This window comes from Homo sapiens, chromosome 1 (assembly GCF_000001405.40).
Source record: "Homo sapiens chromosome 1, GRCh38.p14 Primary Assembly".
Classification (NCBI taxonomy): Eukaryota; Metazoa; Chordata; class Mammalia; order Primates; family Hominidae; genus Homo; species Homo sapiens.
In genome coordinates, this window is record NC_000001.11 from 25785310 (window position 1) to 25800109 (window position 14800).

Sequence of the window (14800 nt, forward strand, 5' to 3'; positions counted from 1 at the left end):
TCCTGGGTTCAAGCAGTTCTCCTGCCTCAGCTTCCCCAGTAGCAGGGTGCGTCACCACACCCGGCTAATTTTTTGTATTTTTAGTAAAGACGAGGTTTTGCCATGTTGCCTAGGCTGGTCTTGAACTCCTGAGCTCAGGTGATCCGCCCACCTCAGCCTCCCAAAGTGCGGGGATTACAGGCATGAGCCACCACACCCAGTCCTTTCCTGGCACATTTGCAGCTTGTCAACACAGCGGAAATCACGGGAGAATGTTGAGCCCTTCCCTGGGCTCAGCTGCTTGCTCTGTTCATAAGCTTTAATAGCCCCCGGGGCTCTGGGCCAGGTGACCCGGCTTTAAATCCCTGCTGTGTGAACTTAGGCAGGTACCTCCCCTCTCTGGGCTCTTCTTTTCCATCAAGCAGACAGAAAACCTCAACCCCACAAGGTTGCTGTGAGAAGAAGTGGGAAGCTGCTGGTTCCCTGGGCACAGGAAGTGCTTGTTCCTTGTTCTGGAGACTCAAGACATTCCCAGAATCTTCTTAAGCAGAGCTGCTGGGGAGTAGCCCCTGTAGCAAGTACCATGCTCTTGACAGGCAGCATGAGAGCGTGACTCCCATGACCCACCTGTGCTCAAAAAAAAAAAAAAAAAAAAGCAAACCAGGAAAACTGACTACACAAACATTGTAGAAAGATTAGAAAATAGAAGCAGAAAGAAGACTCATTGGCCATCCCACTCTCTGGGGTGAATACTGTTATATTTTCTTCTAGGCCTTTTTCTATGAATATATAGAATATAGATTTTGCCACCGTGGTATCCTACTATGCACACTGTTTTCTTATAATCTGCTTTTGCACTTAACTGTACATTGTGAACCTCTTTCCATGTCAACAAATACATGTTTATCTCATCGCTGTACGTGCTTGTGGAGTATTCCATTGTGTGCTGTAGCCTACTTTGCTGATCTAAGCCCCTGTTGCCAGGCATTTGGGTTTGTGTCCATCTGGGATTTTAGTTACAAATCACAGAAACCAACTCTGTCAACTTAAGCACAGAAAGGGATTTACTGAAATGCCATGGGGTGGCTTATGGAATCTCAGGAAGGAGTAAACAGCCAAACCTCAATAAGGGCTAGAAAGAGGACTTGGCCAGGGACCCCTTCAAGAACCAGGGAAGCCTCTCTAGGCACCACCATCAGGAGGGCTGAATCCAAATGTTTCCAGATCCTGCTGTGGCTCCTTTCCATGTGGCCTGGCCTGGGTCACATGCCCGCCCCAGCCAAGGGCAGAGCCAGGCATCTTGGCTTGGCAGACCCCCTAAGATTACCCTGTGCAATGGGTGTTGGGCTGTTCCCTAGAGAAAAACATGAGATTCATCACCAAAATAAGGGATCTGCAGGCTGCACAGGCAAAAACAGCAGGACTGTTTACAGTTAGCTTTGATTTCTTCAGTATTATACAGAGAGTTATGAAGAGCATACTTAACCATCCTCCTTTTCACTTTTGTCCAATTATGTCCTCAGAATAACTTCTAGAATGTCTCTCTGTCTCAAAGCCACTTTGCAGTTCCCCAAGCCCCAGGCTCCCCCGCCAGGCCCGTGCGGCTGTCTACCTCTCCTCTCCTGTCCTCTGCTGTATTGCTGGGAGGAAATTGTAAAAATGAATATTTTAAAATGTATCCTCCAGGAGGGCCCTTGCAGGTGGAGAAATATCATCCTTTTGGCAACTTAACTCCATTCCACGGATAAAAATAAGTACGACTCAAGACAGGCCGAGAGGAGAGAGGAATTAAGGGATGACTCATCCTCACTGAAGGTAGGAGAGAGCTTTGCAAGCCACAGAATCTGAACACCCAAACCTCTCACTGAAGGTAGGAGAGAGCTTTGCAAGCCACAGAATCTGAACACCCAAACCTCTCCCTGAAGCAGCCCTCTCCTTCCCCAGCTGGGGGTCAGCCTGTGGCTGCCAAGCTCATTTTAAGCCTCATCTGCGCCCTCGCTGAGGATGGAAGCACCATTTGCACCTGCTTCCCTCATAGAAGGGTGTGATGTCAGCTCCTTCCCAGAAAGCTTCATCAACACCCAGCTCCTGGCACTGAGGTCTGCAGAGCCTCAAGGCCCCGGGAAGGGGGACGAGCAGGGCACAGTCCTTTTCTAGGTGCCTCCCTTTAAATGACTGGCTATTTGGTCAGACCAGCCAAATGCATTGGGAAGAAAAGCAAAAATGGAAAATCTGATTTAAAGGCAGCATCCAAGATGGATGCTCAGTTCCGTTCCCTCTGCTTTGAGGAGGTGACCCCACTGTGGTTTGAGAAAGTGCTAGAGATGAATGGGCCAGCTTCCCCCAGCGTTTCCCCTGGGGGCCTGTCCTTGGAAGTATGGTCATTGGTCATGTGGCACAAAGATGCTCGGCCCTCTGTGACTAATGCTTAATTACACCCTACTGGAGGAAGGGGGCTGATTCTATTTTTTGTATCTGAAAATATCAGTTTGGTTTCCTATATTTGGAGCACTGTTTTGTTCCTGCTCAGCCTGTCTCTTAAGTCAGAGCTTCTCAAACGTGCACAGGAATCACCTGGGAGCTTGTTAAAATCCAGGTTCATGTTCAGCGGCTCTGGCATGGAGCCTGAGATTCTGCCTTTTTTTTTTTTTTTCCTGACACAGGGTCTTATTCTGTCACCCAGGCTGGAGTTCAGTGGGGCCATCATAGCTCACTGCAACCTCCATCTGCAGGGCTCAAGCAGTCCTTCCACCTAGCCTCCTGAATAGCTGAAACTACAGGTGTGCCGCCACATCCAGCTAATTTTTTTTTTGTCGCTACATTTCTCAGGTTGGTCTCAGAATCCTGGGCTCAGGCTATCCTTCCGCCTCAGCTTTCCAAAGTGCTAGGATGGCAGGCATGAGCCACTGTGCCCAGCCAGATTCTGCTTTTCTCTAACAAGCTCCCGGGAGATGCTGATGCTGCCAGTCCTTGGACCACACTTTGAGTAGCAAGACCCCAGTTGGTGGCCACTGCCTTGGTTTCTGCCTTTTATTTGCATCCCTGGAGCTGTAACTGCTCCAGAGTGGAGTAGAGGGGCTCAGGTATTAGGATAGCATCTATAGATACCTTGACTGCAAAGCGACCTACCTTAAAACAGGTGTGTGCCTGCCACCTATGTCAACAGCTCTCCATTCTTCAGGACAGCCAGGATAAGACAGGAGCAGGCTGCTGGTGGCTTAGAACAGTGGCGTCCAATAGGGTCACCCCATGTGGATCTGGAATACTTAAAATGTGGCAAGTGCAATGGAGGAACTAAACTTTTAATTTTATTTCCTTTTTTTTTTTTTTAATTGACCAGAGTCTCGTTCTGTCACCAGGCTGGAGTGCAGTGGCGCGATCTCGGCTCACTGCAACCTCTGCCTCCTGAGTTCAAGCAATTCTCCTGCCTCAGCCTCCCGAGTAGCTGGGACTATAGGCGTGCGCCACCACACCCAGCTAATTTTTTTTTTTTTTTTTGAGACGAAGTCTTGCTCTGTCGCCCAGGCTGGAGTGCAGTGGCTTGATCTCGGCTCACTGCAACCTCTGGCACCCGGGTTCAAGCAATTCTCCTGCCTCAGCCTTCCAAGTAGCTGGGATTACAGGTGCATGCCACCACTCCAGGCTAATTTTTGTATTTTTAGTAGAGACAGGGTTTCAGCATCTTGGCCAGGCTGGTCTTGAACTCCTGACCTTGTGATTTACCCGTCTCAGCCTCCCAAAGTGCTGGGATTACAGGCGTGAGCCACCGCGCCTGGCCAATTTCATTTCATTTTAATTAAATTTAAAGAGCTATGCATTGCTGCTGGCTGCTGTTTTGGACAGTGCAGAATTAGAACTCAGAAAGCAACTACCCTGTTGGTGCTGCAAAGACCTCCATCACCTGCACCACTACATAAATCATGTTAGCAGAAAATACATTGTTTAGGGACTCAAGGATTCCCTTGAACATACCTGGTTATTTTTATACTCATCCCAGCCTGTTTTCTGCACAAGCCTCTGAGTTTGGTTTTGTTTTGTTTTGTGTTTTCTTACTCACTGTCTGCAGCAGGGCATGCAGTGGGTAGGCTGAAGGCAAGAGAGGCAGAGGGGTGCGACAGGAGAGGACAACCCATGTCGGTTTCATACAAGCACAACATTTGAAACTGGTGGACCTGTGTTCAGCTCTGCCCTGCCCTTTTCCAGGACTGTGTGGCCTTGGGCAAGCCCCTTAGTTAAGCTCCTCTGAGCCTCTGCTTTTCCATCCATGGAAAAGGAAAGTGCTTTCAAGGGTTAATCGAGCCTCCCCACCCCACCCCTTGTAAGAACTCAGTGCATCCTAGCAGTGATTGTTATGATGTGAACCTCTTTGTAAACTATAAAACCTTGTGTAAATGTGAGGCAAAACACTGCTGTCAAAAATTCTTCTTTTTAAACAAAATGCTCTGAAACTTGGGGGAAACCGCATCAACCAGGCCCAGGAGACAGACCAAAATCTCAAAGCAATAAATCTGAACGTTTTCTGCTTTTCCCATTGAGGAAGCATTTTGCCATTAGCTAGCCCTGAATCTACAGAAATTGGGAAACTGGGATGAAGATTTGTTGACTGTCCAAGGTCTTCCAGGGACCCGTCTGGTGGTGGGGGATGCTCGGGCAGGGGCCCAGGGCTGAGGAAGATGCCGAGAGCTTGCCCAGGAATGTTTGAGGTCCAATTAGTGTTTCCTCTTCATGGAGTACCTGATAAATCCTGTCTACAAAACTTTGGAAGGGAGATGGGCAGGAAAAGATGGCACCCCCATTTATAGAGGAGGGAACTGAGGCCCTAACAGGCTTGCTCCAGGGTCAGGCTCTGCAGCCCTAGCCACCTCCTGGGTCAACTCCTACATTGCTGATGTCGTACTTTCACCTTCTCCACTGTTGAATTAACCCTAGCCCAAATTTCTGGAGCATCTGCTCTTCCAAAGTCTGACTCAATAGAGATGAGATTCCCAGCAGCTGCCCGAGGTTAGAAAATACCAGCACACTCCTTTTCCTCTGGCAGTTATCCTAGCAAAATCATGCTCCCAGAACCCAGATAACCCAGATCCACGATGTCCTCGCCATCCAGGGACCAGAGCAAGGACAGAGTGTAAACAGCAGAGAACGGAGAAGATGTGGGCCAGCGCCATACCCCTCTGGGCCACTTCTCAAAGAGAGAGACCTTCAGGGATAATTCCATCGTCTTGCACAAGTTACAAAATTTCAACTGTGGCTTTCCCAGGTCTTAGGACCTGCATGGACCACCTTCTCCAGGAATTGAGTTCGCACGGAGATCACTAGAGATGGAGAGGTCAGGGATGGCCCCTGGGGAGCTGACATTTGTGACAGGCTGTGCAAAGAGCATTCCAGGCAGAGGGAACAGTGAATGCAAAGGCTCAGAGGCAGGAAGTGTTGTTGCATCTGAGACACAGAAAGGCAGTAAGCGAGTGGGAGGGTCTGGGGGGTCAAAGGAAGTCGGCAGAAGGGGTTCCATCCCTCAGTGCCTGGTGGGCAGGTAAGTACTTGCTGTGGTTTGAATGTCCCCTCCAAAACTCATGTCGAAATGCAATTGCCTTTGGATGGTGTTAAGAAGTGGAACCTGGCTTGTTAAGAGGTAATTAGACCATGAGGGCTCTGCCCTTGTGAATGCATTAACGTGGGTTGTTCTGAAAGCCGATTCAGCCCTCGCTTGCTTGCTTGCTTGCTTGCTTGCTCTCTGGCACTCTTCTGCCCTTCTGCCTCTGGCCACAAGTGGACGCAGCACGAAGGCCCTTGCCAGATGCAGGCCCCCAACCTTGGATTTCCCAGCCTCTAGAAATACATTCCTTTCTTTATAAATTATCCAGTATGTGGTTTTCTGTTATAGCGACATAAAATGGACTAAGACAGAGTTTAATTTTAATCTGAGAGCAGCAAGAAGCTAGGAAGAGTTTAAAGCAGCACATGAGATGACCCACTTTACATTTCTGAAAGTTTCCTCCGACTTCTGAGTGGAGAGACCTAGGAATTCTTTTTCCTCTCACATCTGTCTCAGTGGAAAACCATTCTCAGATTCCTAAGCGGAAGCTTCTGAAGCCTGTGCCCCAGGAGTGCCGCGAGGCCCGAGTGCCCTCTGCCCTGTGTGCATGACCTCTCCTCTGCTTTTTTACTCCCTGGGTTTTGAGGAGCCTGGGAGACTTCAAGGGCACCAGAAACCTTTCCTCTGACCCTTCTTCCCTGTAGCCGTGGATCAAGCCTCCAGGCTGCTGCCCCCTCTGTTTCTACCACTCCTTTCAAGCGGGCCCAGCTGCGCTTTTAAAAAATGGAAGCTGCTTCCCAAGGTGGCCCGGCTCCTTCTCTCGCACATGCGCCAACGGAGGCTGTTTGTGGGGCCTGGGGCCTTCTTTTCATTCTTCTTTGAAACCTTCAGGATTTGTGGCAGGTATGAAGTCAGGGAGTTCTGGGTCTCTCAAAAGCACATATTGCTGAAACATAACATTGTCTACCTTCACCCCTCCTCCATGGGTAATTCCAAGCAGGACACTGAGTGCTCCGCACCTGCCCAGGTTCTAACTAAGTCTGCCTGGCTGGGTCACCTTCTGCTGTGTCATTCTCCGTGTGCTTCCTGAAGGGTCCTGACTCCACACGGTTCCCCACCTATGATCACCATGTGGTCTGGACACCTTCCCTGTCCACAGCTCACCTGATCACCAAGGGACCACCCCACAGCCTTGACTGGTGCCACCAACTATAGCTCTCAAGGTCCTCCCAGGGGTCATGGAGCCATTTGGATCCCTAATATCTCCCGATCCCCTTAGCCTATCTTTGGAGCAGTCAGGAACTATCTGCCTCCTCTTCCCTTTCATCTGTGTCCACGTGTCCCAGCTGTCTCCTGAGAAATCACTCCTTTCCTCCAGCCCAGTCAGCATGTCTGCCTTCATCATGCTGTAATTTTCCAAAGCTCCAGTGTTTCAAACCGGTGTTTCAAGGCAGTTCACTTGAGGCCAGGAGTCCAAGGCTGCAGTGAGCTATGACTGTGCCCTAGCAAGCCCAGCCTGGGCAACAGAGTGAGACCCTGTCTCAAATAAAATAAAATATAAAATAAAATAATAAAATAAAATACTACTGTTTTCCATGGCTCCGGTGTTAAGCCTTTGTTGTGCTTTAATTTTCCGTGGCTCTAGTGTTTTAAACCAGTCCTATTTCTCCTTGAGTTTTTAAGTGAAACTTTAAAAAAAAATTTTTTTTGAGATATAATGTAGATACAGTAATGTGTAAAATGCACTATTCTTTTTTTTTTTTTTTTTTTTTTGAGACACGATGTCACTCTGTCGCCCAGGCTGGCGTGCAATGGCGCAATCTCAGCTCACTGCAAATTCCGCCTCCCAGGTTTAAGCGATTCTCATGCTTCAGCCTCCCGAGTAGCTGGGACTACAGGACCACACCCGGCTAATTTTTGTATTTTTGGTAGAAACGGGGTTTCACCATGTTAGCCAGGTTGTTCTTGAACTCCTGACCTCAGGTGATCCACCCGCCTCAGCCTCCCAAAGTGTCGGGATTACAGGCGTGAGCCATTGCACCCAGCCTAAAACGCACTATTCTTAAATGACCAGCTCAAGGAATGTTGACCTATATGCACGCTCATATGACCACCTCCCCAGTCAAGATCAAGACTATTCCAGCACCCAGAAGGCTTGCATGTGCTGCTTCTAGTCAATACCTGCCATCCCCAGAGCAAACCCTATGTGGACCTCTTTCACCATCACCTAATTTCAGGCACAGACATTTCATTCTTTTCATGGTTTTTTGCATTATAAACATTCCACTGAGGCTGGGTATAGTGGCTCACACCTGTAATCCCAGCACTTTGGGAGGTCAAGGCGGGAGGCTGGCTTGAGGCCAGGAGTTCAAGGCTGCAGTGAGCTATGATCATGCCATAGCACTGCAGCCAGGGCAACAGAGTGAGACCCCATCTCAAAATAAAATAGGCTGGGTATAGTGGCTCACAACCATAATCCCAGCACTTTCGGAGGCCGAGGTGGGCGGATCACCTGAGGTCAGGAGTTAGAGACCAGCCTGGCCAACATGGTGAAACCCCATCTCTACTAAACATACAAAAATTAGCCGGGTGTGGTGGCAGGCGCCTGTAATCCCAGCTACTCGGGAGGCTGAGGTGGGAGGCTCTCTTGAGCCCAGGAGGCAGAGGTAAGAGGATCAGTTGAGCCTGGGAGGCAGAGATTGCAGTGAGCTGAAGTTGCACCACTGTACTCCAGCCAGGGTGACAGTGAGACCTTGTCTCAAAAAAAAAAAAAAATCCTCTGCATTTTCTGTCTTAATTTATATGATACAACTTATAACCACTTAGCTCCTGTCTAATAAGGATGCTCACACTTTCTTGTCTGGTCATTATGAAGCCCTCTTGTACCCATTTGTGGTAAAAAAAAAAAAAACCTCTGAAGTGCACAACCAAGATCAGAGATGATGAAATAAAGCCTCTCAGATGCAAGCTGAGCTATGCCTCTCCCTTGTTTGGGTGACTAGCTCATCCCAGTTAGGGCTTTCTTGCTTGTAGGACCGAATATCCCACATCCTCGGTGCTCCATCAGTGTCAGTCCTGAGCAGACCAGGGTGGCTGACCCCCCAGCACGGTTCCCTCCTTGGCCCTGGACCCAGTTCAAAACACACAAGACAAGTGGAACAGAATTCAGGCCAGATCATCCGGTACCATCTGCCTGTGCCTGACACTCACCGTTGGAAAGGCCCCGAATGTCAAACTCTTTTTTGTGGCTTGTGTGTGGAACTTGGCCGTCTTTACATTTTCTCCCTCAAAATCACTGGAGAGCTGGTAAAAATGTCCCTCTTTCCCCCAACCAACTGGGGGTTGGCCCCAAGCATTGGTCTCCTTCAAAGGCCCCAGGTGACTAGTGGGCAGCCAGGCTGGGTAACCAGGACCTCTGCACTCGTGATGCTGAGACTAAATCTGTCCATCTGGCAAAGTCCCGGGGGCATTTACTGACCCCGGGAAACAAATCTCTCTCCCAGCCTGGACAGTACGAGAGCCAAGCCAAGCCTGTCATGACCTCTAACGTTAATCTATTTTTTGGCTAATCACAGCCACAGCTCCATGCCTGTAAATCCAGCCAAAGCCACTCAACATTCCAAGACACGGCGGCATCTGTGGCCACATAGGCCAAAGGCGGCTTCTCTTCTCTCTCTTCAATGATCTCATTGAATCTTGTGGCTTTAAGTGCCATTTTTAGACTGGCAACTCCCAGATTTATAATCCACGCCCCCCTTCCCTACCGTTCATAGCCCCATAGTCATACACACACAACTGCCTCCTTGACACCTCCGTGAGGGTGACTCTCAGGCATCTTTTTTTTTTTTTTTGAGCTGGAGTCTCCCTCTATCACCAGGCTGGAGTGCAGTGGTGTGATCTTGGCTCACTGCAACCTCAGCCTTCCAGGTTCAAGCGATTCTCCTGCCTCAGCCTCCCGAGTAGCTGGGACTACAGGCGTGCGCCACCACGCCCAGCTAATTTTTTGTATTTTTAGTAAAGATGGGGTTTCACCATGTTGGCCAGGATGGTCTCGACCTCCTGACCTCATGATCCGCCCACCCCAGCATCCCAAAGTGCTGGGATTATAGGCGTGAGCCACCACGCCCAGCCAGCTCTCAGGCATCTTAACCTGGCAGACTGGACCAAGCCTTCTCCCCAGCCGGGGTCCCTCCAGGGTGCCTCATCTCAGGATGGTGCCACCAGCTACCCAAGCTCAACCCATGGCTGATGCTGGTCTTTCCTCTTGCCGTCCACTTCTGACCCATCCGCAAATCCTGTCTGTGGCTCTGCTACACTCATATATCTTGTCCACGCCTGCCCAATCCCTGCCATCTTATGTCTGGGCGACTGCATTAGCCTCCTGTCTCCCTCCTTCCTCTGTCCATCCCCTAACTCTATTCTCTACCCAGAAACCAGAAAGATCTTTAAACAAACATCAAAACCAAGAGGCTTTACTGGGATATCATTTACATGCCATAAAATCCACCCACTTCAAAGATGGACAATTCATGTTTTTTTAGTATATCACAGAATTGTGCAAGCATCATTATAATCTAATTTTAGAACATTTTATCACCCCAGAAGAAACTTTGTACCCATTAGCAGTTACTCCCCAGCCCCCTCCTCCCGGTCTCCCACTATAGCCCCAGGCAACTGCTAATTTAGTTTCTGTCTCTCTGGATCTGTGGATTCTGGACATTTCACTGAATGAATCACACAAGCCGTGGTCTTTGTGTTTGGCTTTTTCCACCCAGCTTAAAGTTGCTAAGGTTTATTATTGCCCACTAATACTTATCAAATGGATACACCGCATTGTTTATCCATTCATTGCTGGAAATTTGGGTTGTTTCTGCATCTGGGCTATGAGAAAGGTCTTTTAAAAAACAAGTCACCAGCCGAGTGCGGTGGCTCACTCCTGTAATCCCAGCACTTTGGGAGGCCGAGGTAGGCGGATCACTTGAGGTCAGGAGTTTGAGCCCAGCTTGGCCAATATGGTGAAACCCTGTCTCTACTAAAAATACAAAAAGTAGCCAGGCTCGGTGGCCGGCACCTGTAATCCCAGCTACTCTGGAGGCTGAGGCAGGAGAATTGCTTGAATCCGGGAGGCGGAGGTTTCAGTGAGCCTAGATCGCGCCACTACACTCCAGCCTGAGCGACAAGAGCAAGATTCCATCTCAAAAACAAACAAACTAACAAAAAACCAAGTCACACATTGTCACCACCCTGCTTAACACCTTATAATGGTTTCACATCATATCTAGAATGAAGTTTGACCAAGTGCCGTGACTCACACCTGTGGTCCCAGCTACTTGATAGTCTGGGGTGGAAGGATGCTTTGAGCCCAGGAGTTCAACGTTGCAGTGAACTGAGATCGTGCCACTGCACTGCAGCCTGGGGGACAGAGTGAGACCCTGTCTCAATAAATAAATTGAATGAAGTTTGTTGCCGAGGCCTGCAAGATTCCGACGTCCTGTCCCAGCCTCTGTCACCAAGCTTTTCTCTTCCCATAACTCACTCTGCCTTCTGTGTGTCTCCTGGACATACCAAGCTTGTTTCCACCCCAGGCCTTTGCACCGGCTCTCCCCTCTTCTCCGTGCCTGGGACGCTCCTTCCTCGATTCTTCTCATAGCTGGCTGCTTCTTCCCGTTCCAGGCGCAGTGTATGTGTCACCTCCCAGCTACGGTGCTGATGCCTGCCTGTGGCACTGTGCCACAGTGCCCTGTCTCACTCCTTCACACTTACCTTTCTCTGAAATTACCTTGTGTGTCTGTCATTTCCTTCCTCCGAGTAGAATATTCAGCCCCCACAGAGGAAGTGCCTTGCCCGTCTTCTATAATACTGTGTTCCCAGGGCTGAGAACAGTCCCTGGCACACAGCAGGTATTTAGTTTGCGGAGAGGCCCACGTGGTCCGGGCATGCTTAAGCAACTCCTGCAGTGGCACCTGTTTCCCCCAAGTGATCCTTTGTTCTCAAATGTTGGTCCTATTATTGGCTGCCAAGATGTTAGGGTTGGGTTTGGGGAAAATCACTTGCCTCTCTAGGGTCCCAGATGAAGAGAAGAAACACAAAAAACAAAGCCAAATGGCCCTCTTCCTGGCTCACTGTCGCCGGTGAAACTGGAATGGAAAATCCTAATTTGATTTGATTCCCTGGAGGGCAGCAGCGCCCCCTGCGGGAAGAAGGCCTTTCCTGGTGAGTTTACCCCAAAGAGACAGGAAGCAGAAGAGAGGATGCTACTAGGAGGCAGGCAGGGATGTGTGTGTGTGTGTGTGTGCGCGCGCGCGCGTGTGCGTGTGTGTGTGCGCGCGTGTGTGTGCGCGCGTGTGTGTGTGTGTGTAGGAGAGAGAAAGAGAGAGAGACACACACACATCAGGGGTGTGTGTGTGTGTAGGAGAGAGAGAGAGACACCAGGATTCGAGGCAGTGACCCTGCCCCTACTTAAATGTGGCTGCAGGCAGGTCAGGCTCCCTCCTCTTCTCATGGGTGGATGGAGTGGCCTGGAGTGCTTACACCAACACCCTCTGCGCAGGGAGGTGGGTGTGGGTGCCCCCAGGCAGAAGCTGGGACCCAGTAGGGAGTCTGAAGGGTGCTGCAGTGGCTGAATGTCCCTCTCTTCTGATGCCTCCACATTGTCTCAGTGGTAAAGTCCAGGCTTTTCACAAGCTGGCCAGCGTGCCAGCCCAACCTTCCTGCCTCCTCCTCCTCCCTCTTCACACTTCCCCCCCGGGTCCCTCTGCTCAAATCCACTGGACTATATTCTCGAGACGCTACGGATACTCCATCGAGTTTCACATCACTGGGCCTTCACCTCTGCTGTTCCCACCCTCTGGAATGATCTTCCTGGGTGCTATGCCTGGTGAGCTCCTGAAGTCAAGGTCTGGCCAGACCTCTGCTCTGGGAAGCCTCTTCTGAGCCCTCCTGATAGTCAGGGGGACCCTCCTCTGTGCACACCCCTCTCAGAGCACTTACCCCTCGAGAGGAGGGTTGCAGTATCCATTGACTCATCTGGAAGAGCAGAGACTGTTTTGTTTTCTGATGGACACCCAATCGCCAGGACACGGCATAGTAGCCCTTCAATACATGTGTTGGAAGGATGAATGAGCGAGTGCCCACTAACCTCCGAGACCCTCATGGACGTGGCCAGTGCGTCACTCACCTTGCTGTGGTTCCCATTGGCTGCCAGTTCCCAAGTGTCACCCTTGCCCACTGGGAGGCAATAGCAAGGTGCCAAAGAGATCCTGCAGGGCTGCCCCAGCCAGAACCACCCACTAGGCCCTATCTCTCACGGCCTTGCCCTGCCGGGGATCTTGGTTTGGGACAAGCCCTTCTGGGAAGGGCGCCCTCCAGTGGGAAACCAGCCCTGCTCCACTGCCAGTCCCAGAGCTGACACCTCCCAGAGCTGACATCTCCCAGAGCTGGGCCCAAGATTGATCCTTTTCACAGAGGCACACTGATCTGACCTGATTGTCATTAACCCACCCCCACTGTGCGCCTTCCCGAGCTTCTAGAATCATCCCCCAAGTCCCGCAAGCCCCAGAAACCCATTTCTTCAGCACTGGGCAGCAGAGACCAGTGGGGTATCTGTATCTTTAAGAAAAAGCAAGTGTAATAAATAAAAGTTATCTGGGAAAGAAAACTTCCTTTGTTTATTTTCCAGAAGCCTTAGCTCATCAATCTTCCCCTCCTAACCTGCTTTGTGCTCTACTAGTTTTGCTTCCAATAGAATAGAATTTGGTTTTCTAGTATCATGTATCGTACACAGGGTGTCCCCAAACAGTAGCAATAATGAGTTGAAAGTGGCACAGTTGGAAGCCTTCAGAAGCCAACGCCAGATGTCAGGCTCTCAGTGGGTCCCTCTAAGGACACTGGGGCCAGAGCACAGGGCAAGGGTTGGGTGGGCCCACAACTCTGGAAGGTCCCTGGGAGTCATTCATCTGACAGACACTGAGGAGTGCCCACGATGTGCCACGCCCTGTGTGGGCTCTGGGAAGGCCTCACCTGGTGCTGCCATGGCTGGCCACCAAAGAAGAACAGGATGGGCAGTGGAGGCAGGACCCCACCCCCAACTCAGTCGACCGGGTCATCCCGTGGGAAGCCTGGGAGGCAGGATGGCAGGAGATTTGGACCCATAGACCTGGGTGCCAGAGGTCAGGCTTCTTCATTTGAAAACCAGGGAAGCAGTCTCTACCTCACAAGGTGGCTTGAGAACAGAGTGAGAGAATGTGTAAATCACCCCACCTGAAGTCCAGCACATGGGCAGAGCTCAGCATCCTTTGGATCCCTCAGGCCTGACAGGTGCCCCTGCGCTGGGGGGGTTGGTGGGGCTCTGCAAAGGCAGGCACTGCTCACCTCTGGGCTCAGAATTCTTGTCTAGAGGCTTCTGCAGCTGCCACCCTCGCCTGAGAAAATGCAGGTAGAGACATCTAGAGCCACCCCATGGTAACTGGGGGCTTTGAAAGAATGGAAGAGAGCCCCAAGGAACCAAGGTCCTGGGGATTGACAGGCATGAAAATATGTCCTCAACACCACCCACCCCTATTTCCAAGGCCCTCCTCCAAGCATGCCGCATGCTGTTCTCCAGAAAAGCCAGGGCCTCTGGTAGCTCCAGCTGCTGAGGGGCTGGAGCCTCGCCTTCCCCTCACCAGACCAGAGCCCGGAGGGTGGGGGTTGGGGGGCTCTTTTAACTCCTTGGTGGAGATGAGGAAATTTGGGCCCAGGGAAGTGCAGGTTCAGAGCTGCACCTGCTGTGCCTGGAACAAGGCCAATCCCCATAACCCATGCATCTGCGGAGGTGGCCCCCCAACTGCACATGAGGGGAACAGGGGCTGGGCTTTCTTTTTAATTTGTCTTGCTCTAGATGACAGAGGAACTTTTAGAAAACTGGTGGGATAAGGATGGACGGATGCCCCTCAGCAGTCTCTGGCCTCGTGCCCGGCTGCCAGCAGAGGAGGACACGAGGCCTCAGAGGCCCCCGACGCCCCTTCTCCAGGAAAGCACAGGGTGTGTGGCTTCTCCCCAGCCCCTTCTTTGTCCCAGTCCCCAGTCTGGAATCGCTCTCTGGGCTGGGCCAGGCAAGTGGGCCGCAGAGGCCTGGCTTAGCTTTGGGAACGGAAGCACGGGAAGGGGCGCGGAGAGGCAGGAAGCGGCCTGGGGAGGCTGGGGTGGCCGGGACTACGGACCCGACCGCATAGACGCGATCAGCCCCTCTTGGCGTTCCGGTGTAGCTGACCCCGCCCCGGGCTCTGGCCGGGCTGCGAAGCCGGGAAC

The 14800-nt window shown here is 51.1% G+C and overlaps 2 annotated features.

Moving 5' to 3' along the window:
• Window positions 14078-14799: an enhancer, noted in NCBI's record as "H3K27ac-H3K4me1 hESC enhancer chr1:26125878-26126599 (GRCh37/hg19 assembly coordinates)". NCBI's record gives its function as "activates a minimal SCP1, AML or CMV promoter by ChIP-STARR-seq in naive H9 embryonic stem cells {active_cell/tissue: H9 hESC(naive)}" and the evidence as "EXISTENCE:reporter gene assay evidence [ECO:0000049][PMID:30033119]".
• Window positions 14609-14748: a silencer, noted in NCBI's record as "silent region_461". NCBI's record gives its function as "represses an Ori minimal core promoter by ATAC-STARR-seq in GM12878 lymphoblastoid cells {active_cell/tissue: GM12878}" and the evidence as "EXISTENCE:reporter gene assay evidence [ECO:0000049][PMID:35858748]".